Source organism: Homo sapiens, chromosome 14, assembly GCF_000001405.40.
Source record: "Homo sapiens chromosome 14, GRCh38.p14 Primary Assembly".
Taxonomy (NCBI): domain Eukaryota; kingdom Metazoa; phylum Chordata; class Mammalia; order Primates; family Hominidae; genus Homo; species Homo sapiens.
In genome coordinates this window covers 54093852-54118322 of record NC_000014.9, presented here as the reverse complement: position 1 = coordinate 54118322, position 24471 = coordinate 54093852, and the positions used below count along the sequence as shown (strand labels likewise).

The 24471-nt window shown below is 37.4% G+C and overlaps 2 long non-coding RNA genes across 4 annotated transcripts in view; one reads left to right on the top strand and one right to left on the bottom strand.

The window, feature by feature from the left end:
• Positions 1-24471, top strand: part of LOC105370507 (uncharacterized) — a 144575-nt gene that overhangs the window by 70132 nt on the left and 49972 nt on the right. The window contains exon 5 of one of the 3 annotated variants that reach the window (XR_943884.2): positions 8303-8373. The exons of the other annotated variants lie outside the window; for them this stretch is intronic. This is a non-coding gene — a long non-coding RNA (uncharacterized LOC105370507). Of the gene's footprint in view, positions 1-8302; positions 8374-24471 lie in introns of those variants that run through there. 3 annotated transcript variants of the gene reach the window in all.
• Positions 2247-3512, bottom strand: LOC105370505 (uncharacterized). Its single transcript, XR_943880.4, has 3 exons — positions 3046-3512; positions 2809-2891; positions 2247-2312 (listed from the first exon to the last, which is right to left on the bottom strand). It is a non-coding gene; the product is annotated as an uncharacterized LOC105370505 (long non-coding RNA).

The window sequence follows — 24471 nt, the reverse complement described above, 5'->3', positions numbered from 1 at the left end:
GCTTTCTTGATTCTTAACATTTGTAAACACCTTTTTCTACCTGTGACTTTAGGTTTGGCTTGGATTGGTAAATGGGTGACATATGGGGCCCCTGATTTCCTGTGATTCCCTGATCACAGAAATGGCCCCCAAAATATGTAGTCTGCATATTTTTGCAGGGCCAGAACCCATGGCTGTGGCCTTTGCCCGCAAAGCAACCAGCCCACACAAATAGGAGAGCTACTGTTTATTTAGAAACGGCATTCAAACTGTAAAGTGACAGGCATTCTGACAAAGGCATGGGAATCATGATTTGGAATTCCTGATTTTTCCCACGAATGGGATTTGTATGAAGCAACCTGCCTTATCCCCTTTTACCTTCTCACACTACCTCAACCTAGGCCAGTTCTGAGTACTTTCATTGAGCTGAGATTGATCATCTAAACCCAAAGCCAGCTGAGATTGATCATCTAAACCCAAAGCCAGTTTCCTTTGAGTACATAGGCTTTGCAAGAATGGCTTTTCCAAGCAATGGTTTTAGAAAACAGGTGCTCATAATATTCAAATTGTTTATGTTTTTAATAATTTCTTTGTTTCTCCTCCAATCCTAGTCCAGACTTGCTAATCCTCAGCATTTCTACTTTCCTATAATGGACAATCATAAATTTCCAGAGAAGTAAGGGTCCCTGGGTCTGAAGCACAGTGCCGTTGTTTGTTCAAGATATTTGGAGACTGTGCCAAGTGCAGAACAAAACATGGTTTATGGCCTTCATTTGGCATTGATTTGTGCTACAAAGCTCAGAGTATCATTTCCTCCAGAGGCTTTGCGTTTTTAATGAGAGAAAATATTTCCAACTACAGAGTTCTTGAAGAACTACAATGTTTAATTTTTGAAAACAAAAATCTTTCAAAATAAAGCGGCTTAAAAATTTTTCATTTTAAGTTGTTGCTTTTAACTAGAGCCTTCAAAATGGTCTTTCCAAGTAGTGTTCCTTTACTAACAGTCACTGGTGTTGCTTCCTGGGGGACGCAAACCAACTTGACACACTGGCTATGATGTTAAAAAAAAAACGGGAAAGTGGTATCAAGAAACAACATGACTTACTGGCTTGTACCCTGCAACTGGACCTGAGTCAGAACTCTTCCACTGGCCTTGGAGCCTCAAAATGGATGGAGAAAAGATGAATCACACAGATTTTAAACAGATAGCTTTTTCAAAGAAAGAGCTTCTCTCAAGAGTGAGTAGACCAGCAGACTCATCATGTCCAATAGAGAGGAGGTAAATACAATATTATGGGAAATCCATTGCAGATGAATTAGGATGAAAAATAAATTAAAAACCAAGTTAGCTTCCCAGATAAGAGTAGAAATATCCACTGGAATAAAAAGGGCTAAACAAAGAGGACAAAATGAAAGGGCTTAACACCTTCCCCCAGAAAGTCACTTGTCTTCCAGAGTATTGACTTCCCTTACTCAGATCCTTCCTTTGTCAGGAAAAACAAAACAAAGCTAAAGAACAAAACTATTAGGCCCAGCACAAGTATTAATATTATTCACCCTTGAAAGAAAAGCTTGATTATGGGTGATGCTAGGCCCAATTTTCACTGGCTTATCTAAAGGATCTAGAAACCACAGATTGCTGGGCCACACCCTCAAGTTTCTCATTAGTAGGTGTAGGGTGGAGTCCAATAACTGGCAATTTTCTCAAATTCCCAGGTTATATCATGCTGCCTGTGCAGGGACCACACTTTGAGAACCATTGTTTTAGCGTAACTCATTGGTTTTGAGATCCAAGGAAATGGAAGCACATGTGTTTAGGGTAATCTTGTGCTAGTTTGCATTTATTCTCATATATATGTCAGCACATGCAAACTACAGTAGAGGAGGCATTTACCTGAATAATTCAGGCTCACAAATGACTTGCACTCCATTAAAATACTTCAAGCATAGGAAGTGTTTTCTAGGGGAGTAGGGAGGGGAGTGTTTCTGAATCACCCTATGACTTGCTTTATTGCCCGTTTTTATTTTGCATATGTATAGCAAAGTATTGTTTGCCTTAAGAGAAATATGTTCACCTGTCTCTAATGATGGCTTTACTCTGATTTCCTGTTTGTGCAAGATCTGGAAAAAAAGTTGTGTTAGGAAATGGGAATGGGAATGGGCAAGAGGTTTTCTAGATAAGCTAGTTTTAAAATATGTCCTATTCATATTTCTGGTGTCATTATGAAAAGGTCACAGGCAGTCTGAAGATGAGTTTATTGTTACCTCAAAACTGAACGAACCCAAAAAGTGCTTCTTACTTGTTTTCAGTCCAGGCTTTAACTAGGAAGACCCTGGAAGACGTCATGGTAGAGTCTTAGAATTTCCAGGATGGTGTTAGGACAATTGATAACTATTTTGTCCCACAAAACTGCACAATGTCAAGGAATCAAAATAATCTCAGTGTTAACTTAAACCAACTCTTACTTAATGCTGATACAGTTCTTAACTCCTAATCTATTTTCTCTGCATTTCCAACTTTTGTTTTGTAAGCCTACAAAACAAAATGTATATGATATACATTATCATTTTTGTTCCTTATGAAAGGCCTGAAAAGCAAGTCTTAGTTTGTGTGCTTTACTGATGAGGAAGCTGAGGTCAGAGAGGCAAGCTAGTGAGTGGCTGAGCTGTGACTGGCACCCAGATCTTTTAGATCCAAAGCTCATGCAGATGAGATAAATTGGTGATGGGATAAAGGTGATAAGGACTGTTTCCTCAAAAGTTTGACTAGAAAATGGCATGAACTTATAACACCTCCTATGACTCCAATTTGATTTTATAGGGCATTACCTCCAGCTATCCATGGCTCCTTCACAACAGCTTCTCTGTGAATCTCAGTTCAAAATTCCAGAGAGAGAATTAATTGACCCAACCTGGAAAGAATAAAAGAACAACCCAGTACAAGTATAGCTTCATGCACTCATCTCCTCATTAGGGCTGAAATTGGAACAAGATTCTTTGAGAAGAGAGTGGAGTGGGAGACAGTGATTGGCATTTCTAGGACAAGCAAGTGTGGCCAACATTTACCTGCAAGCCTCTTCCTTTGTTCATTCTTCCATGAACATTCATATCTATTTCCCGGCCAAGATGAAATGCTTACACTATTTTTACTTCTTGCTCATCCACAAGGTACATTATATTTGAGTCTGTGATCAGCTTGAGTCATAGGTTACTGATATATGTTAAATATTAAACATATAAACTGTGCTAAGATCTGCTGCCAAAGAAATGATGCCTTGTGACAGCTACTGATAAAACAGGACAAACTATTTATGCTTCATTCATCTGGCCCTCACCAGAAACAAAGACTACTGGCCTTTGAGTGAGAAGGCTTGAGTTCCAGAGTCAGCCTTCCCTTTGACTATAAGCTGCTCTGGATCATTCATTGCAAGGAGCATCTCCAGGTTCCAGGTAAAGGAGGTATGGCAGCTGTGGAAGAGAGCCCTGCTCAGATTTCCCTCCAGGAGCACAAGCCTCCAGCTGCCGCACCTTTGGGATCCACTGCAACACTCACTCACACCAAGTTCGTGATCTCACAAAGCTGCTGCTCCCAGCCAATGGCTGAGCATGTTGTGGGTACAGGAGCTGGGCCTTTCCTGCCCAATGTGGGCCTCTTTTGATGGGCAGTTTTTGCTCTGGGGTTTCTCATCGGCCTGGCCTTGCTATTTCAGACCTTGATTGTAGTCTGAGGCTTTTCCTACTCAAACCTCCTTCACTCCTTTGTGATCTGAAGGTATCTCCTGCCTGCTGCTTCTCACTCTCACCTTTATCTTCCATGGGTATTTCCCTCAAAACAACTACATGTTTAATTTTGTCTTGATGTCTGCTTCTTAGAGGGCCTAAACTGACAGAGGATGTAAGAATTCAGAAGAATTTTGTGGTACTCAATTGCAGGAAGTGGAGCTGGAATTCCTGGGAAGGGAAACTTTTGTCCAAACAGCAAGGTACATGGTTTCTCAGATTATAGTCCCTGAACTTGTAGTCAATTGGCATTAGTATAGGTTAAGTGACTCTAATTAGTAGAGGTTAGAATGACCTCAATCTATACAGTAGAGTTTTAGAGTTCCTACAAGTTGAAAAATTACAGGACTAATTACATTTACAAAGTAAATAATTACATTTTATATGGAAGGGTTAATGTGACTTCCAGAGGTGCCTAATGTAAAATCACCAAGATGTTGAGAGAGCAAAGCACCTTTAGAAGTTGTCTCCATTTTCTTGACATCATAGTTCCTCCAGTTTCAAATGAAGGAAAAGTCCCTTTCTAGTCATCTGTTGTGAGGGATAAGAGTTCTTGGGAAGTTCAGGCACCATATAAAACTTTGCAAATGATGTTCTGAAAGAAACAATTTTTCCATACTCCCATGAGCTTTGAAGTTTTCTTTTTCCAGCTCATTCATAGTTAAGGGAGAGGTATGAGGATAGTCAGTGTGCTGTCGAATGGTGGATTTTGGTGTAGGATGATCTGGCTTAGTCATTTTATCAGAGAACCCCAAACTGTCAGAATTTTGAGTCTTATCTTTTGGGCTGGTGTATTTTCCCAAAGGAATCTTAAATCTTTTACTGAATTATAAAAGCCTGTGTCAGGTCCTTGGAGTCATATGGGGAGAAGGGTATATGTTGAATATTTTGAGGTGGGGGTACGGGGGTCAGAATTTTCACCATTCAGTAATTTGACTTTCACTTAATCCCCATTTTCAATATGGATACCTTTTCTCAGCTCTGTCTATCATCCCTGAATCTGGCCTCTATGGTTTTTGATTTTTTTTTTCTAGTGTGGAGAAAGTTTTTTTGCTCAGATATGGAAGAGACTGCAGCCTGCAACAAACAATGAGGAAGAGGATTTATGAATGTAGCTTCCTATGTCAACTTTAATGAATTTTCTTGTCTTCAAGTTTGCCTTCCATGCCCAATTTTGGAGATACTGGTGTTTCTTATTTTTTCTAAACTTTTTTTGCCATTATTTTCTTTTCCATTTCCTTTGGGGTTTTTTGTGGGTGTATTAGTCCATTCTTACACTGCTATAAAGAAATACCTGAGACTGAGACTGGGGTGATTTATAAAGAAAAGAGGTTTAATTGACTCATGGTTCCACAGGTTGCACAGGAAGGATGGCTGGGGAGCCCTTAGGAAACTTACAGTCATGGCCAAAGTCAAAGGGGAAATAGGCACATATTCACATGGCCAGAGCAGGAGGAAGAGAGGAAAGGGGGAGTTGCTACAGTATACTTTTAAATAACCAGATATTATAAGAACTCACTCACTATCATGAGAAGAGCAAGAAGGAAATCCACTCCCATGATTCAGTCACCTCTTACCAGGCCCCTTCTCCAACTTTGGGGATTACAATTCGACATGAGATTTGGGCAGGGATACAAATCCAAACCATATCGGTGGGGTGTTTTGCTTTTTAAATTTTTAATTTTTTTAGAATCATATTTTTAAAATGTCTTAAATGGAAGCCATAATTGTACATATCTATGGGGTACATAGTGATGTTTTGATACATATGATGTATAGTGATCAGATTAGGGTAATTAGCAAATCCATCTCATTTATCATTTCTTTGTGTTGTGAACATTCAATATTCTCATTCTAGCTATTTGAAACTATATCTATATAGTCATCCTATGGTGCTATAGAACACTAGAATTTATTCGTCCTATCTAGCTGTAATTTTATATCCTTTAACAAATCTCTCCCTTTCCCTCTACCTTTCCCATCCTCTAGTATCTTCTGTTCTACTTTTTACTTCTATGCACTCATTTTTTTTAGCTTTCACATATGAGTGAGAACATGAGATATTTCATTTCCACTTAATATAATGTCCTCCAGTTCCATTCATGTTGCTGGGAATGATAGGATTTCATTCTTTTTTATGGCTGAATAGTATTCCATTGTGTACATATACTACATTTTCTTTATCCATTCATCTGTAGGTGGACACCTAGGTTGATTCCATATCTTGGCTATTGTGAATATGTTGCAATAAACATGGGGGTGCAGATGTCTTTTTTATGTACTGATTTCCTTTCTTTTGGATAAATACCCAAAAGTGGGATTCCTGGATCATATGGTAGTTCTATTCATAGCTGTTTTTTTTTTTGTTTGAAGACTCTCCATACTGCTCTCCATAGTGGTTATACTAGGTTACATTCCCAATAACAGTGTGTAAGAGTTCCCTTTTCTCTGCATCATTGTCAGCATTTATTTTTTGTCTTTTTGATAATAGCCATCCCAAGTAGGGTGGAAATGATACCTCACTGTGGTTTTGATTTGCATTTTCCTGATATCCCGTTCTCTTTGTTTGAGTTAATACCTCCTTTCTCCCCATTCCCTCTTTTGGTGAGATTTGAGGTGGAATAGGAGGTAAATATATGTGTTCAATTAGTCATATTTAACTCAATGTCCCCTTCCAGGAGCTCTGGAGGGTCTTCTTGACAGCAGTCATTCCTATGGAGGGGGTACAGGGAGGAGTCAGCTCTTAAACTTTAAACTATGTTAGGCTGTGAGATCACCTCTAACTTCATGATCTGACCCTGAAGAGAATGGAAAACTTGTGTATCTGATGAGTATAAGTAGAGATAGCTACAGGCAGCTCACACTTCAAAGCACTTGACTTTTTGTAATGCAGCTGAGTTAATTTTTTGAGTTGCTTAGGATGATACTATTGTGGTAAGATGACCTATAAGCCACCAAAAAAATGCTAGCTTGGTTTTCTTTGGGTATACAAAGCCTCCTGAAACTTCAGGTATCCTTTAGTAATTAGTAACTTCTTATTCTGGTTAAGTTGGGAGATTGTTACATATTGGGGGCTAATTAAGTAAAAATATTGAGAATAATGGAGTTAGAGAGAGGAAGAAAGCTAGATTGAATCCTGTGATGTTGGGTTGGAATTGGAGGCATGAACTCATGATTATCAATACATAGGCCAAAATAGAAATATATAGATGCAAGCCTATATGTACACACATGCACATTTCAATAATATAAGCAGAGAGTTAAATTTAGATGTAACTCTGGTATGTATGTGTGAGTGTGTTTACATATACATATATCTGCTAGCTCTGTCTACTGAGAGAGACTAGGAGCAGCAATATACCAATAGTAAAAGATAAATTGAACCTATATCTTGATCTTAAAATACCATTCCCCATTAAAAGCAACTAGGTCTCTTTGAGAAAATGATTGATTTTGGGTCTGGGTAGAAAAAGTAAAAGAAGAGCCAGAACATCTTTTGATATAAGAGAGCAAGGGAATGTTGAAGTAATGCTGGGACATAAAGAAAGGACACAGAAGTCAGCTTGACTGGACTCCCACAGGCCAACTCTGGGACAATTTAAGCATCAAAATAAATACAAAATAATGGATTGTAACCCATTAAATAAAATAGGAATCCATCAGTCTATACTGATAAATACTGAATAAATAAATGGGGGAAATAAAACAGTAGAATAGCAATGAATAAATGTAGAAGGGAAGACAGAGTTAGAAAACAGCATTTGGCAATTGTTGTAGTAATAATCAATTCAGGCAAAAAACATCAGTGGCTGCTAGAACTAGTGGATAAGAATTTGATGAGAGATGGGATATTTACTTAAGTGACAAACTATCTCCCTACAATATGTTTTAAAATTACAAATGTAAAGGAAAAAGTGTAGCTTTGTAGTAGAGAAGCCTGGCAAGGACCATCTTAATCAAGTGATCAAAGTTAACACCAGTAATGAGGCAAATTAAAATTCTGTACCACCCAAGAGGATGCAATAAGATGAACATTTTTGTGATATATTCCTGCTAAAAATCATAACCTGAATTTAATCACGAAGAAGCATCAGACAAACCCATATTAAGGGATAGTCTGTAGAGTATAGTTAGCTGTCCTGTACGCTGCCAGAACCACAAGATCATGTAAGTCAAGGAATAGCTGAAAAATGTCCTCATATTAAAGGAAACTAAACAGACACAGTCATTAAATGCAACATGTGATCTTGGATTGGATTTTTTGCCATAAAGCAATGGTTCTTGAAGTGTGGTCCCAGGATTAGCAGCTTCAGCACCACCTAGGAACTTGCTTGGAAATATAAAATTTTGGACCTCATGTTGAACCCACTTAATCAGAAACCCTGGATTTGGGCCCACTAATCTGTATTTACTGAGACTTCCCATTGATTTTGTAGCACACTAAAGTTTGAGATCCATTACTATAAAGTACATTGTTGGGGCAATAGTTGAAACTCTGGAGTAGGTGGTAATAATATATCAGTGTTAATTTCCTGCTTTGCAGGTCATTTGTAGGAAGAACATACTGAATTATTCAGGAGAAATAGAAAATTATGCCTACAACTTACTCTTAAATGACTCAAGAATTGGCCAGGCAAGTTGGCTCATGCCTGTAATCCCAACACTTTGGGAGGCCAAGGTGAAGGGACCACATGAGCTCAGGAGTTCAAGACCAGCTTGGGCAACATGGTGAGACCTCATCTCTACTAAAAATAGAAAAATTAGCCAGGTGCGATGGTGCATGCTTGTAGTTCCAGCTACTCAGGAGGCTGAGGTGGGAGGATTGCTTGAGCTCACGAGGTCAAGGCTGCAGTGAGCTGTGATCATGCCACTGCACTGCAGCCTGAGTAATAGAGCAAGATCCCATCTCAAAAAAAAAAAAAAAGATTCAAGAATAAAAGTTCTTTGTAATATGTATACAACTCTTCTGTATGTTTTAAAATATTTCAATATAAAATTTTTTTCAATGGGATGGGACTAAGTTACACATTTACTATATTAGAAAGTTTGACTCATGTTCACTCTAATTGCTTTTATGTTAAGTCAAATGTGGCACTAAATACAAAGGATGCATATTCCATTACATGTATGGTTAAATCTGCTATGGAAAATAGTTTGTTCACCCAAAACCATCTGTGTTTATTTTCAGGTTGAACGAACCCTAAGGTTAGTCACATTCTTTAAAACCATTTGATGAATGACACAATCTCTGAATCACATCAAAGCCAATCTGGTTTCTTCAAGGATTCCATATCAGTGGAAAAACATTTCTGCTCAAAAGCATCTGTCTATCCATATGTGGAAATAGTCAATACATGAAACTGAAAAATAATTGTTTTCAAATAATTGGCTATATGACATACACAGCCCCTCTTTCTCAGCTGCATTACTAATTGCCTGAATATGATCTGTGTTTTGAATTTTTCCCTCATTGTAGAACTTTGCAAGACTTTCCACTGCACAAAATTATAATACAGCAAGAGCAAAATATAGCCTGAGACAAGTACATATGTTGGATTCTATTCAAATATGCAGGGCTTTATCTAGAAGGAAAAATCCTTTTAGAGTTAGAGAGGAAGTGAATCAGGCCCATGGACTTTGGGTAACCGATATGCAAACATCGGTGGTTGGTGGTGGTTTTTCTCCTTTTTGTTGTCTACTTTGAAGTTGCTGTACAATATCCAAATACCCAGCTCCATTCTCCCTGGTGTTTTGGTGGTTATGCATTTGTTCTGAGACTATGAATGGAGAGTTTCCTTCCAACTAACAAGTGTTCCTTCCCTAGCCATAATCCTTCAGAAGAACTGAATCTGATCAGTTATGTCTCAACTGAAGAAGACAACATTTGTTTTAACAGAGTTTATTTAGAACATCCTGCTGCTAATGTCAGCACACAGATTGGGCAAGTTCCACCAAAATAACTTTCAGGCTATTTGTACTCAATTAAATGTTTATTTAAAATTTCCTTTTGGTTTTTACTGCTGTAAATGCATTGTCCATTTTTCACATACCAGGCACTGTTGTTTAGTCTCAAGGGCATTACTTGTTACAAATTTAACAACTGTGACATATTAAAAACAACATTTAGGGAAGAAATTAGTGTTGAGAAGATGTGACCAGATGTTTTCATAGTGTTTTGCCAAAGTGTCACTTAAATGCCAACAAGATTTTAAAAGGAATTTTTTTCCAAAGTATTTCACTATACCCACTTAAGTGACCCCAAAATATGTTGCTATCACAGATACGTTAGAAACAAAGTTTAATTTTCATTTTAATCATAGTTTTCTTGAGGATACATAAAATCTTTTCACTGTCATTTTTTCTTTTATAAACCCATGGTAATTGAAAAAATTGTGACTGTGCCACATGCTACCTTTGTGATCTAAGTTTTCTTATGACTAAAATGGGGATGCTGGCCAGGTGCAGTGGCTCACACCTGTAATCCCAGCATTTTGGGAGGCCAAGATGGTTGAATCACCTGAGGTCAGGAGTTCGAGACCAACCTGACCAAAACGGTGAAACCCTGTCTCTACTAAAAATATAAAATTAGCCGGATGTGGTGGCACATGCCTGTAATCCCAGCTATTTGGGAGGCTGAGGCAGGAGAATCGCTTGAACCTGGGAGATGGAGGTTGTAGTGAGCCGAGATCGCGCCATTGCACTTTAGCCTGGGCAACAAGAGCAAAACTCTGTCTCAAAAATACAAATAAATAAATAATAAAGTAAAATAGGGATGCCATCTCCTATGATTATTATGGAAATTAAATGAGATACTGTATGTGACAATTTTATCCCAGTACCTGGCACATATAATAACACTTTAATAGTGCTATTACTGTTATAAACATTATTATTTATTGACTGACTTCATAGGGATACAAGTGAAAACATCCCCACTAATTTGACTTAGAGGAAACGCAGTCTCCCCTGCAAGTCCCTCTGAGGCTCCAGTCTTTGACTGAGATTGTCAGTTCGCACTAGGAAAAACAAGCCCATCTAGAGGAAACTACAAAAGAAAGTCATTTATTTTCACATAAATTGGATGGTAATTAGCTTCTCTAAGCTGAAGTCTAAATTCAAGAGCATTTAGAAATGAGCCTGCAGGTAAATATGACACAAGAGACTAGACTCCAAGCAGAGAACTCCATGTTTGCTCTCCTTCAGTGAGAATTCTGTTGATGTCAGAGGGTTAACAGAACTTTTAACAGTTGACTGGGGCCCTGGAGTTTTCATGATTTGGTCCACATTCAAAAATATAAAAGTCAGTGAAGCAAATGCTGTACAACAGAGGTTTTTCAGGGAAAAGGGATAAGCTTGATCCAAAAATATTTTGGAGGGTGGAGACATTCCAAGCATACCATTCCGTGCCTGTGCCAATGGAACGTGGGCACAGCACGGGAACAATGTTCAAGGCTGGAGAGCTTTAGAGTACCGGGGCAATTTTGAGTGAAAAACACAAAGAAGTGAGGAATATCCATCTCTGCCCCCATCACACACACACACACACACACACACTCAAACACACACACATACACACGCACACACACATACACACACACACAAACACACACACTCAACGCATACACATTTCCCTATTTACAGTAGAATTATAAATTCTGAGTAAATTTTAGGTTCACAAGCTATGGATTCCAAAGTTTTGTGCCAAATAATTATAGCTGCATCTTGCAGATGTACAGCTCTACTCTGATAACACACACACATTGAATTGGAAGGAGAGACTGGGTAAGTTCCAGTTATTACATTTCCATCCCAAACTGGAAATGACATTTTGTTTCTTTCCATTATCTTTGATGCTAAGTGGGTAAAACTGCCATAATGAAAATGTGTCACCTTAAAAAATCAACATAAATATGGACAGCTTTTCCATATTAATCATGAAAAGGGAGTAACTTCTAGCATGGAGGAATATATCCATTCCCTTTCCCAAATTCCTTGAATAAAGCATGTGTGCTTGTTTTCATGGTTGTATTTTCCTCATCAGTGTTTGTGATCCCTCAAAGCATGAAGGGATTTTGATTTTGAAAAATCCCTCATTATTCCCAAGAACTATATTGGCTGTAATTTGTGGGTAGAGTTGTATGTGGGTAGAAATTCATCTTCATTCTTCTCTGTAGGTAATTTGAGGAAATGCTGAGGCACTTGGATACCCAAAAAGGACTGAAGATTTCTCAATATAAATTTTAGTTAAATGCCTTCCAAAAAATATTTTGCAGTGTATTTCACTAAAGACACAATCCCTGTTTTTCCTTGACTTTGATAATATATTTTACCAAAGAAGAGCAATTCAGTTTGTGCAAAAGAACCATTCATGAGGTTGCCTGGAGATAGAATGACTCAGTGTTTCTCAAAGGTGGGGCACAGCGCACCTCAATCAGAATCACCTGGGGAGCTTTGAAAACATCAGATTCCTGGGCCCCACTCCAGCTCTACTGAGTCAGGATCTCCCCGGGGTGGGACCTAGGCAGTTGCATATTTAATGAGCTCTACAGGTGATTCTTATGCATCTTAAGATGTAGAGGGTAATTATTAGTTCTGGTCATAAAAGGTAGTATTGCCTTCTGCTCAGGAGCTTCTCTGTCTTTGAAGAGAGGGTCAGTGGCATATTGCCTTTGAAAAAAAATTCAATTTAAACGAACAGCAAGTCATTTTCCCTCTTCTCAATACTTTATTCTAGCTGCGTTTTCCTCCACAGGTTCAATCATCCAGTCTCCTTCACATAGAATAGCATTTGGAGTTGAGCAGCTACGCAAAACATTTTACTGTTGGTCCTTTATTTCTGATGTCCCTGTGTTTCTGGTCAGTGACCATGATCTGAATTTTCAGAAAAAAAAAGGGATACATAGTAACAGCTTAGTCACCTGGTAGTCACGGATGTGGGATAGACCTGAATCTCTGACAGTATCTTATAGGGCTGTGGTTCTTGAGCTTTACTGCATTAGAATCACCTGGATTTAAAACTTTCAAAGTTTAGGCCATACCTCAGACCAAAGTCATCAGAATCTCTAAGGGTAGGGCCCAGACATCAGCTCCCTGGTGATTTTAATTTGAAACCAAGGCTAAGAACCATTGTCATAGGGCATCTGTAGAAAAATGAGGTCTTTAGAACCCTGGGGAAGATCATGAATATTTTCCGTTACAGATGGAACTTTTCTGATCTGTGGTACACTCTAGTAGGAGAAAATTTAGGAGATATTTCTTTATAGAGACTTGTTCCTGAGAGAGAATTTTTGTTTCTTCAGCATATTCAACTACTATTATGGGAGGTCCAGTGTGGAAGACTGAAGTTTGAATGTTGGAGGTGTGTAAAGTACACATGCATAGACATACCCACAGTGTGTACTACCCCTTCCCAGCTACAAAACCCTTCTATGCCAACACTTCACTTTGTCTGTGTCAGGATAATCTATGAAATTTATCAGTCTTTGGCTCTTTGCTGTCTTCTCAAGAGCCGGTAACAGATCTCCAGTGAGCTGAAACAGAGAAAGTTGTTTTAAACCATTGACTGCTTAATAAATTAGCACTAGATGGCTTTTAGTCTAATTTATCTCTGGGAGCCAGTTTCCCAGGGTATCAGAGCAATACCACAAGAAAAATTATTTCCATTAAACACCACAAAAATGTCTTTCCTGTGATACTTCACTGAAAGGGTGACATGTACGAGATTCTCAGTCACAAAACAGGAAAGAAATGTTTGAAAGTTAAATTAAAAAGTAAAGCACAGTTAAGATTTTATTGAGCTTAAACCCCATTCCTACCCCCTAAACATATAAATCTGTTCTGTGTTCTGTGTCTCCCACTCAGATGGGTGATAAATTTTGGATGCTGAATTCTTATGTCTCTAAAAATAACGTTTACCTAAAGTGAAGTGCAACATCTGGGTTTATTGGGGGAGCATGAAGTGGCCTTTCAGCTTAATTATTTGTGTGGTCAGGTTAGATTTCCCAACCCTGAAAATGATGCCAGTTTTGTTTCTCTTGGCCCCTGCCCACTACAGGTAAAGAGTCTGGTTCCACTAACTTTCCCATAGACCTGCTTCTTAATGCAGAATGTTACTATCGATGCCCTGACATTGAGGAAATGTAATATTTCCCATTTGCTGCCTGAGTTGAAGGACCTGCTGTCCCTGGAGGCACCTTGGTTACTGTGAATTAAAATGTATTGAAGAATTACCTAGTGCTGTCATAGAGAATGTCATTACAATAGACCCATGGGTCTCTGATGCTCTCAAAAGAATGTGTTTCTTTGCCTTTGCCATGAAGGATATGTCTGATTGTCTAGACGAGAGAGCAGATTGAGATGGTCCATATGCATCCTTAGGGGCTGTCCAAATAGGAAAGATAGTGAGGCTGGCATTAGATTGATCATAATAAGAACTCTTCACTCTTTCCAACACTCCTGTCCATATTCCAAAACAAGCTAATACCATGGAAAAAGCAGCCTTATGAAGGAATGTGGTGAGAGCAACCAGCTGTCCAGGGTGATCCTGGGAATTGATGGTCTTTTTTGAAAAAAATAAAAAATAAAAAGAACAACATCATAGACAGTCTTGAAATAAAATTTTTAAATCTCTAGATCTTTGTATAAATTTGAGCCCAAACATTTTCATTCACACCGTAAATTTTTCCAGGCACTGACTCAAGACCTGAGAGATATCTTTTCATTTTTCCTCTTTCCCTACCAAATTGTTTGTTATTCCTTCTCTTCATTTCTACTCTCTTGGCCACTAGTTCACTTTAAGACCTTATTGCTTTAAGTTGGTCTGTTGTAAAAGACTCTTTACTCATTCCCAGACCTTCAGCCTTTCAAAATTAAAGGCCATTCTATACACCGCCACCAGACAATCCTGGATTATTGCTTGGCTCATCTCACTTCTCTGTTTAACTTTTTCAACGGCTCTCCCATTGACTACTGCGTAAGATTATGGCAATTTATCATGTTGTTCAAGGCCTTTTACAATTTTGTTCCAAATTATGCTGCCTGTCATATGCTACTTCCTATGCTCCAGCCAAAGGACACCTATCTACCCTTTTTTTTTTCTTTTTTTTTTTAGACAGAGTCTCGCTCTTGTTGCCCAAGCTGGAGTGCAGTGGGGCAATCTCAGCTCACTGCAACCCCTGCCTCCTGGGTTCAAGCGATTCTCCTGCCTCAGCCTCCTGAGTATCTGGGATTACAGGCGCCCGCCACCACGCCTGGCTAATTTTTGTACTTTTAGTAGAGACGGGGTTTTGCCATATTGGCCAGGCTGGTCTTGAACTCCTGACCTCAGGTGATCTGCCCGCCTTAGCCTTTCAAAGTACTGGGATTACAAGCGTGAGCCACCATGCCCAGGCTACCCCTTCATTTCTTAACTTCATCTTGTCTTTTCTCACCTTTGGCTTATACCATTCTCTCCATCTGGGCTGTCACTTCCTCTTGTCTCTTCTTGATAATATCTAGCTTGTCTTCTAAAACCTAAGTCAGAAATCCCCCTTCTTCCATAAAGCCTTTTCAGGGCACTTAAGTCAGAAGCTTTCTTTGCCTTCCTCTCATTGAGCATTTGATTGGGACTACTCTTAAGGCCTATAACATGCATTTTTTGTAGTTATTTAGGTCCCTGTATTAGCTTTCTCAGTGGGTTGCAATGTCTGGAAGGTGTAAACCTGTCTTTGTATTCTCCATCATGCCTTGTACATGTTGGATGATGAATGAGTAAAGGAAAGAATAAAGGTAAATGCTACTTCCTTCCCTTCCTAATCATATTGAAAAAGTGTAACATGGAGAATAGGTCCTGCAGAAATCTCTGGTACATCCAGTTATAGGGCAGCCTGAGCCTAAGGATGTGGATTAGTGGTGAGGAGACCTTGGCATGTCTGAGTTTGGGTCAGTTTCCAAGGACCACCTAAGTGTTTAGAGGCTTATCTGAATAAATGGATTCTCCCAGATCTTTGGAATTTCTGAGATGAAAGTGGGCAGAGTTGTGGGCTTGTCATAATAAAACATGTATTTAAAAATTTTTAACTGAAGATTATATAAGTATCAGAAAACTTGAAGCTCAAATCTGACAAATATGTGGTGCAGGTGGCTCAGGAACTGAGCAGGTTGACCTCTGGCGTGCTTACTCTAGAAACCTGGCTACAAGACTCTGGCAGATTGTGAGTTTATAGGTTGAAAGATGAAAGATAACTTAAAAGAAGGAAAGTACTTCAAAGGATTGATATGTTGCAACAGATTCCCAGTCCTGGTCAGTGTGTTTGCAAAAGAAGGCTTAATACATGGGAATAGTCGATTCTTAAAAAATAACTTGTGTTTACTCAAATTATTTTTGCAAGCAGAAATTATGGCCAAATGTGAGCCTTCGCTTTTTATACATAACAGCTGCACATAAACAGCAATGTAAATCAGACCCTTTGTTTTTCTTACGTGCCACAGTACCATGACTGTGCCAGCATTAACAAAGTGAAGACATTGTTCAAAGAGTTTGACAGGTAAAGGTAGATTAACTGGATAATTCGGGTCCCCATTTCCCATTTTTTTTCTTTAGTAGTATTTATATTTGAGCTTGTCAATAATTACCTGTATTATCTCCTAATATCACTTTGCCTAGGTAGCCCCAGTTTTTAAATTTGTAACATGAGAATAATGGTAACTTTATCCCATGAGATTATAACGAAGATTAAATAACAAATATGAAAAGTGTGTTTAAAAAGTGTTTCGTACTTTCTGAAGCACTGACATATTTTTGCATGTTGTACATATGTATGTATTATTTAGATAAAACAGTTGGTTACTCTCTGGTATGTATTTAGTCCTTTGATCCATGCTCCTCTTTAAAGAGTTTAAAATTTGGATAGATAGATGATGGATGGCTGGATGCATAAACACATGTATAAATCTGTTTTAAATATATATAATTTAATTAACAATCATACTTTATCAGATAATAAGCAATTTAGAAGTGAACCGAAAATGGGAGATTAGTTTGAATGGATTTTATAAATACTATTTGTGTGGTTTTGAACATAATTTTAGATTCTTTCAATACTTAGAAAATGTCCTGTAATTCAGTGTTCTCTAAGTGTGGTCTGTGGACCGATGTTGGTTCATAATTTGTTCCTAGTAGCAATAATAAGCACATTGCTTAATTTACTAAATTTTTCTTTTGCAAGAATGTCTTGATTTCTATTCTGGCACAAGATCTTTATGTTCTTATTGATTGGCGAACAGTAGTTTGTTGCCTGGTGCTTGTAGTAGTGCTGCTCCAATGGCATTTTACCATTTGAGCATTCATTTGTTCTTTCACTCATTCAACAAGCATTTATTAAGCACCTTATTAGTTAAGGTAATCCTAGCAGTGTAACAAATAAGTCCTGAGCTTAATGTAATAAAAACCTATTTCACAGACATATCAGAGTCTCTGTGGTTGTCCTGGTCTATGGCCTTCTGTGTTGTCTTTAGGAAAAGGGTATATATATATAGATATATAAGATCTATCTATCTATCTATCTATCTATCTATCTATCTATCTATCTATCGAGAGAGAGATTTATTATGGGAATTGCCTCATGTGATTACAGAGGCGGAGAAGTCCCACAGTATGCTGTCTGCAAGTTAGAGAACAGGAGAGCCAGGGGTAAATTAGCCTAAATCTGAAGGCAGAGCACCCAGAGAGGGGATGGTGTAACTCTCAGTCTCATGCTGAAGGCCTGTGAACCTGGGGAGGCTGCTGGTGAAAGTCCTATGATCTGAAGGCCTAAGAACCAGGCAAGCTTCAATATCTGAGGGCAGGAGAAGGTAGATATCCCAGCTCAAGAAGAAGGTAGGTGTTCACCCTCCTCTGCCTTTTTGTCCTATTCAGGCAGGCCCTCAATGGATTGGATGATGCCTGCACATGTTGATAGATCTTTGCTCAGTCTACGGATTGAAATGCCAATCTCTTCCTAAAACACTCTTACAGACACATGCAGAAATAATATTTTACCAGCTATCTGAGCATCCCTTAACCCAGTCAAGTGGATGCATAAAGTTATCACAGTTAAGGGGCACAGTCCCTTATTAACCATTTCAGGAGGGACACAACATCACTTTTGCTCACATTATTTTTCTGAGGATAATTGTTTTCTCTTACCTCCACGTAAGGGCATGGGGAAATACAATCCTTGGCTTTGTGAACACTTCTTGGCATTAACACATTATGGAAGCAGAGCAAAAATTTTTGATGGTCACCTAAACCAGTATTTCTCAAACTATCTGTGGTGAAGGACCAGTTCTGTTTTTTGAAAGTTTAAATCTGTCACAACCTGATGTTTGAAAAAAATTCCGTAAAAATGAATTACTAGGAAAGTAAAATAAACAAACAATATATAAATACAAGTCAAGTTTTAGAAATTATTAGATTCAGGCCGGGCGCAGTGGCTCATACCTGTAATCCCAGCAATTTGGGATGCTGAGGTGGGCAGATCACGTGGTCAGGAGATCAAGACCATCCTGGCCAACATGGTGAAACCCCGTCTCTACTAAAAATGCAAAAAAATTAGCTGGGCATGGTGGTGCATGCCTGTAGTCCCAGCTACATGGGAGGCTGAGGCAGGAGAATCACTTGAACCTGGGAGGCGGAGGTTGCAGTGAGCCGAGATGGCGCCACTGCACTCCAGCCTGGTGACAGAACATGGAATTTTATTTTCATATAGGGAAACAGATAATAAACAAGAAAATTTTAGGTAGTGATAATCCATCATGAAGACATGTGAATGGTATCATGTGACCCAGTAGCTTCTGGAGAGGCCTCCCTAAGGAGGATCCTTGTGATCAAGATAGAACAGCAGATTTAGGAAAATGTATTCCAAACAAAAAGTTCTACCTTGTTTAAATTTGTTTAAGGTATGTTTCATTTTCACTTCTAATTTCAAAATTTTCATAAGGCTTCAGAATATGCCCCTTTACAAAAACAGGTGAAAAAGAAACATTTTAAAATCTTTTATTCCCTTTTCCTAAAACAGTATATGCATATTATTTTTATTATAGCTTTATTGAGATATAATTCATATACCATTCAATTAATTCATCTAAGTGTACAATTTAATGGTTTTTAATATGTTTACAGATATGTACAACCATCACTATGGTTAATTTTAGAATTTTTCATCCCCTCAAAAAGAAAACCTGTGTGCTTTAGCGATCAGTCCATACCCTCTATTGTCCCCAACTCTAAGCAACCACTAATCTACTTTCTATCTTTATAAATTTGCCTATTCTGGGCATTTTATATAAGTAGACATTTCATATAATACGTGATATAATGTGATTTAATCTTTTGTGACTGACTTATTTCACTTAGCATAATGTTTTCAAGGTCCAGCCATGTTGCATGTATTGGTACTTCTTTCCTTTTGTGGCTAAATAATATTCCATTGTATGAATATACCACATTTTGTTTATGCTTTTACCAGCTGATAGACATTTAGGTTGTTTCCACCTTTTGGCTGTTATGAATAATGTTTCTATAAACATTCATGTGCAAGTTTTTGCGTGGACATGTTTTCATTTATTTTGGTATATTCCTAGGTGTAGAATTTCTGGGTCATGTGGTAACACTCTATTTAAGAGTTTAAGGTCCTGACAGATTGCTCTCAAAAGTGGCTTCACCATCTTACATACCCACCAGCAATGTATGAGGGTTCCAGTTTCTCCACATCCTTGCCAATACTTGTTTTTATCTGTCTTTTTTTATTTTAGCCATCCTAGTGGGTGTGAAATTATATCTCATTGTGGTTTTGAGTCGCATTTCCTGATGACTAACAATGTCACACATCTTTTCATATGCTTATTGGCCATTAGTACACATTCTCTGGAAAAAATATCTATTCAGATCCTTTGCAATCCTTTTAAAATAGGGTTACGTCTCTTTTTATTATTGAATTTTTAAAATTCTCTATATAGTCTAGATACAAGTCCCTGATAAGATACATGATTTGTAAATATTTTCTCCTTGGTAGATTGTCTTTTTGCTTTCTTTATAGTGCCCTTCAAAGCCTAGAAGTTTTAAATTTTGACAAAGTCCAATTAACCTATGTTTTTCTTTTGGTGTTTGTGCTTTTGGTGCCATACTTAGAAAGCCATTGTCAAATGCAAAGTAATGCATATTTATACCTATGTTTTCTTCGAAGAATTTTATAGCTTTTGCTCTTACATTTAGGTTTTTGATCCTTTTGAGTTAATTTTTATATGTCCTATGAGGTTAGTGTCCAATATTATTCTTTTGCATGTTATTACCCAGTAGTTCCAGTGTCAGGGTTTGAATATGTCCCCCCAAATTTATGTGTTGGAAACATAATCCCCAATGCAACAATGTTAGGAGATGGGACCTTTTCAGAGATGTTTAGGTCCTAATGGCTCCATCCTCATCAATGGATTAATGTTGTTATAAAAGGGCTTAATGGAAGAAGTTCATTGCTTTTCACCCTTCCACTTTGTGCTATGTGAGAACACAGCATTCTTCCTTGTTGGAGGACACATTGTTCAAGGCTTCATCTTAGAAGCAGAGACTGGACCCTTGTCAGACAACCAAACCTGCTGGCAACTTGATCTTGAACTTCTCAGCCTCCAGAACTGTGAGAAATGAATTTCTGTTCTTTATAAAATACTCTATCTGTGGCATTGTGTTATAGCAGCCCAAAATGTACTAAGATACCCAGCATCATTTGCTGAAAGACTATTCTTTCTCCATGAAATGGTCTTGGTGCCCTTGTCAAAAATTAGTTGACCATAGACACATGGATTTGTCTTAGGACTCTCAATCTATTCCATTGATCTATGTCTGTCCTTATGCCAATACCACACTGTCCTGATTACTGTTGTTTTTTTTTTTGTTTGTTTGTTTTTTTTTTTTTTTTTTTTTTGAGACGGAGTCTCGCTCTGTCGCCCAGGCTGGAGTGCAGTGGCGCGATCTCGGCTCACTGCAAGCTCCGCCTCCCGGGTTCACGCCATTCTCCTGCCTCAGCCTCCCGAGTAGCTGGGACTACAGGCGCCCGCTACCACGCCCGGCTAATTTTTTGTATTTTTAGTAGAGACGGGGTTTCACCTTGTTAGCCAGGATGGTCTCGATCTCCTGACCTCGTGATCCGCCCGCCTCGGCCTCCCAAAGTGCTGGGATTACAGGCGTGAGCCACCGCGCCCGGCCGATTACTGTTGTTTTGAAGTAAGTTTTGAAATTGATAATTGTGAGTCCTTCAACTTTGCTCATCTTTTTCAAGATTGTTTTGGCTATTCTGGATCCCTTGCAATTCCACGTGAATTTTAGTATCAGCTGGTCAATTTCCACAAAGAAACCACTTGGAATTCTGATGAGGATTGTGTTGAATGTACAGATTAATTTGGAGAGTATTGGCATCTTAAAAATACTAAGTCTTCTTATCCATAAAGATAGCGTGTTTTTATTTATTTACATCTTCTTTATTTTAACAATGACTTGTAGATTTTAGAGTATAAGTTTTACACTTCTTTTGTTAAATTTATTCCTAAATATTTTATTCTTTTTGATGCTATCAAATGGAATTGTTTTTTAATTTCATTTTTGGATTATTCATTAAAAATATATAGAATTATAGTTGATTTTTGTATATTGATCTTGTGTCTTATAACCTTGCTGAAGTCATCTATTTAGTCCAGTAGTTTTTCAGGGATTCCTTAGGACTTTCAGTATACAAAATTGTGCCATCTGCAAGTAGAGATAGTTTTACTTTTTCATTTCCAATATGAATGCCTTTTATTTATTTATTTTTCCTTATGCCTAATTACCCTAGTTTAAATCTCTAGTATAATGTTGAATGGAAGTGGCAAGAATGGACATCCTTGTCATGTTCTTGAGCTTAGGGAAAAAAGATCCAGTATTTTACCATTAAGCATGATGTTTGCTGCGAGTTTTTGTAGATGCCCTTTATCAAGTTGAGAAAGTTTCCTTCTATTTCTAGTTTGTTGAGTGCTTTTATCATGAAAAGGTTTTAGATTTTGTCAAATGCTTTTACTCTGTCTATCGAGATGATGATATGGTTTATTTTTTATTCTGCTGATATGGTGTATTACATTAATTGATTTTCAGTTGTTAAACCAACCTTGCATCCTGAGATAAATCCTATTTGGTCATGGTTTATAATTCTTTTGATATGGTGCTGAATTCCGTTTGCTACTATTTTTTTGGGGATTTTGTGTCCATATTAATAACAGATAATGGTCTGTAGATTTCTTTTCTGTGATATCTTTTGGTTTCATTTTCAGGATAATTGAGGGTTTTGGCCTTATAGAGTGAGTTGGAAAGAGTTCCCTCCTCTTGTATTTTTTGAAATAGTTTTTGAAGGATTTGTATCAATTCTTCTTTAAGTAAGTGTTGGTAGAATTAACCAGTGAGGCCATCTGGGCCTGGGCTTTTCTTTGTGTACTAATTGAATCTCTTTACTTGTGTTATAGGTATATTCATATTGTCTATTTCTTCTTGAGTCAGTTTGAATAGTTTGTGTCTTTCTAGGAATTTCTTCATTTCATCTAAGTTGTTGGATTTATTAGCACACAATTCTTCATAGTATTCCTGTATGATTTTTTTTATTTCTGTAAGATCAGTTGTAATACCCAGTCTTTCATTTCCAAATCTAATAATTTGAGTTTTCTCTATATTTTTCTCAGTCAGTCTAGCTAGAGGTTTGTCAATTTTGTTAATCTTTTCAAAGAACCAGCTTTTAGTTTTGTTGATTTTATCTATTGTTGAGTCTACTTCAGATTTATACTAACTTAATTTCAGTGTGATATAGAAACATTATTTCTATATAGCTCTATTATATTTTTTCCCTTTTTGTTATATACATAGTATTATATTTATATTGGTTATGCATATTATTGTTATACATTTTACTTCTATAAATGTTACAAACCTCAAAGTATATTATTATAACTTATTTTATATAATTTTATGACTTTTAAAGAAGCTGAAAGAAGATGGGAGAACAAGTATATATAGCTTTTATGATATTAATCTTCTCATTTATCATTTCTTATTTTCTTTACTTGTTCCTGTAGACCTGAGTCATCTATAGTCATTTCTTTAGTCCAATAGAGCTTTGCTTACACCCACCTCCTTTGTTAGGATATTGGCAAATATATTACATTTCTATGTGTTTCGGCCCGGCAATAATTTTTTTAATATACTGTTTTATACAATTGGTTTTTTAAAAATCAGTTAAGAAATGGAGAAAAATATGCATTTATACTGTCTTTTATAGTTACATAATTACCTTTACAGGTTCTTTTTGTTTTTTAGTATGCGGATTCAAATTCTTATCTGGGGCTTTCAACCTGAAGAAATATTTTTAGTATTTCTTGTAAGTCATGTCTGCTAATAACAAATTTGCTCAGTTTTTGTTTATCTGGGAATCTATTCTGCCTTCATTTTTGAAAGATAGTTTTGTAGGATAGAATATTATTGTCTGACAGCTGTTTTTCTCTGAGCATTTTAAATGTATTATACCATTACCTTCTGGAGTCCATTGTTCCTGATGAGAAGTCAGCTGTTCACCTTATTGGGGTTCCCTTGTATGAGAATGAGTTAATTTTTGCTTTCTGCTTTCAGGATTTCCTTGTTGTCTTTGGCTTTCAATATTTTTACTACAATATATCAATTTGCAGATCCTTGTTTATCCTACTTGGAGTTCTCTGGGCTTCCTGGAAGTATAGATTAATGTTTTTCAATAAACTTGGGAACTTTTCAGCTATTATTTCTTTAAATATTTTTTCTTCCCTTTGTATTTCTCCTCTCTTTCTGATACTTACATTATGAGTATATTGATATCCTTAATGGAGTCTCACATCTTCTAAGGCTCTATTTGTTTTTCTTCATTCTTTTTTCTCTCTGTTCCTCAGATTGTATAATCTCTGTCAATCTATCTCAAGTTTGCTAATTATTTGTTCTGCCAGTTCAAATCTACTGTTGAGCTCCTCTAGTGAATTTTAAAATTTCAGGTATTGTACTTTTCAACTCCAGAATTTCCACTGTGTTTTTTCCTTATAATTTCTATCTCTTTATAGAGATTCTGTATTTGATGCAACATTGTCATCAGACCTTCCTTTAGCTCTTTAATTATGATTTCCTTTAGCTCTTTGAACACATTTATAATGGCTACTTTGAAGTCATTGTTAAATTTAACATCTGGTTGCTCTCACAGGCAGTTTCTGTTTCCTACTTTTTTCTGGTGAATGAATCATACTTTCCTGTTTATTTGCATGTCCCATTTTAAAAATAAAAACTGAACATATTAGATAATATATTGTAGCAACTCTGGGTATTGATTCCCCACTGTGGGACTTATTATTGTTATTTGCTTATGTACTTATTTAATGACTATCTGGATTATTTTAGTGCAGTCTGTTTCCCCCCTACAGTGTGAAGCCTCTGATGTTGCTCCTCAGGGGACACAATCTTGGGTATGCCTACAGTCACCCTAAGATGAAAGTGGTTTTGGCAGTGACAGTCTTTGACAGTCTCTTTCTCTGACCACATCCAGCTATTAAGCACTACTAATTGCCAGCTGATTGCTCTATTGTTTTCAACAATGTCTTGGGGCATAAATTGCTTCATAAACTAATTAAATTCAGGCTCCTTGGAAGATAACGTTGCAGAGGGCAGTATTTGGG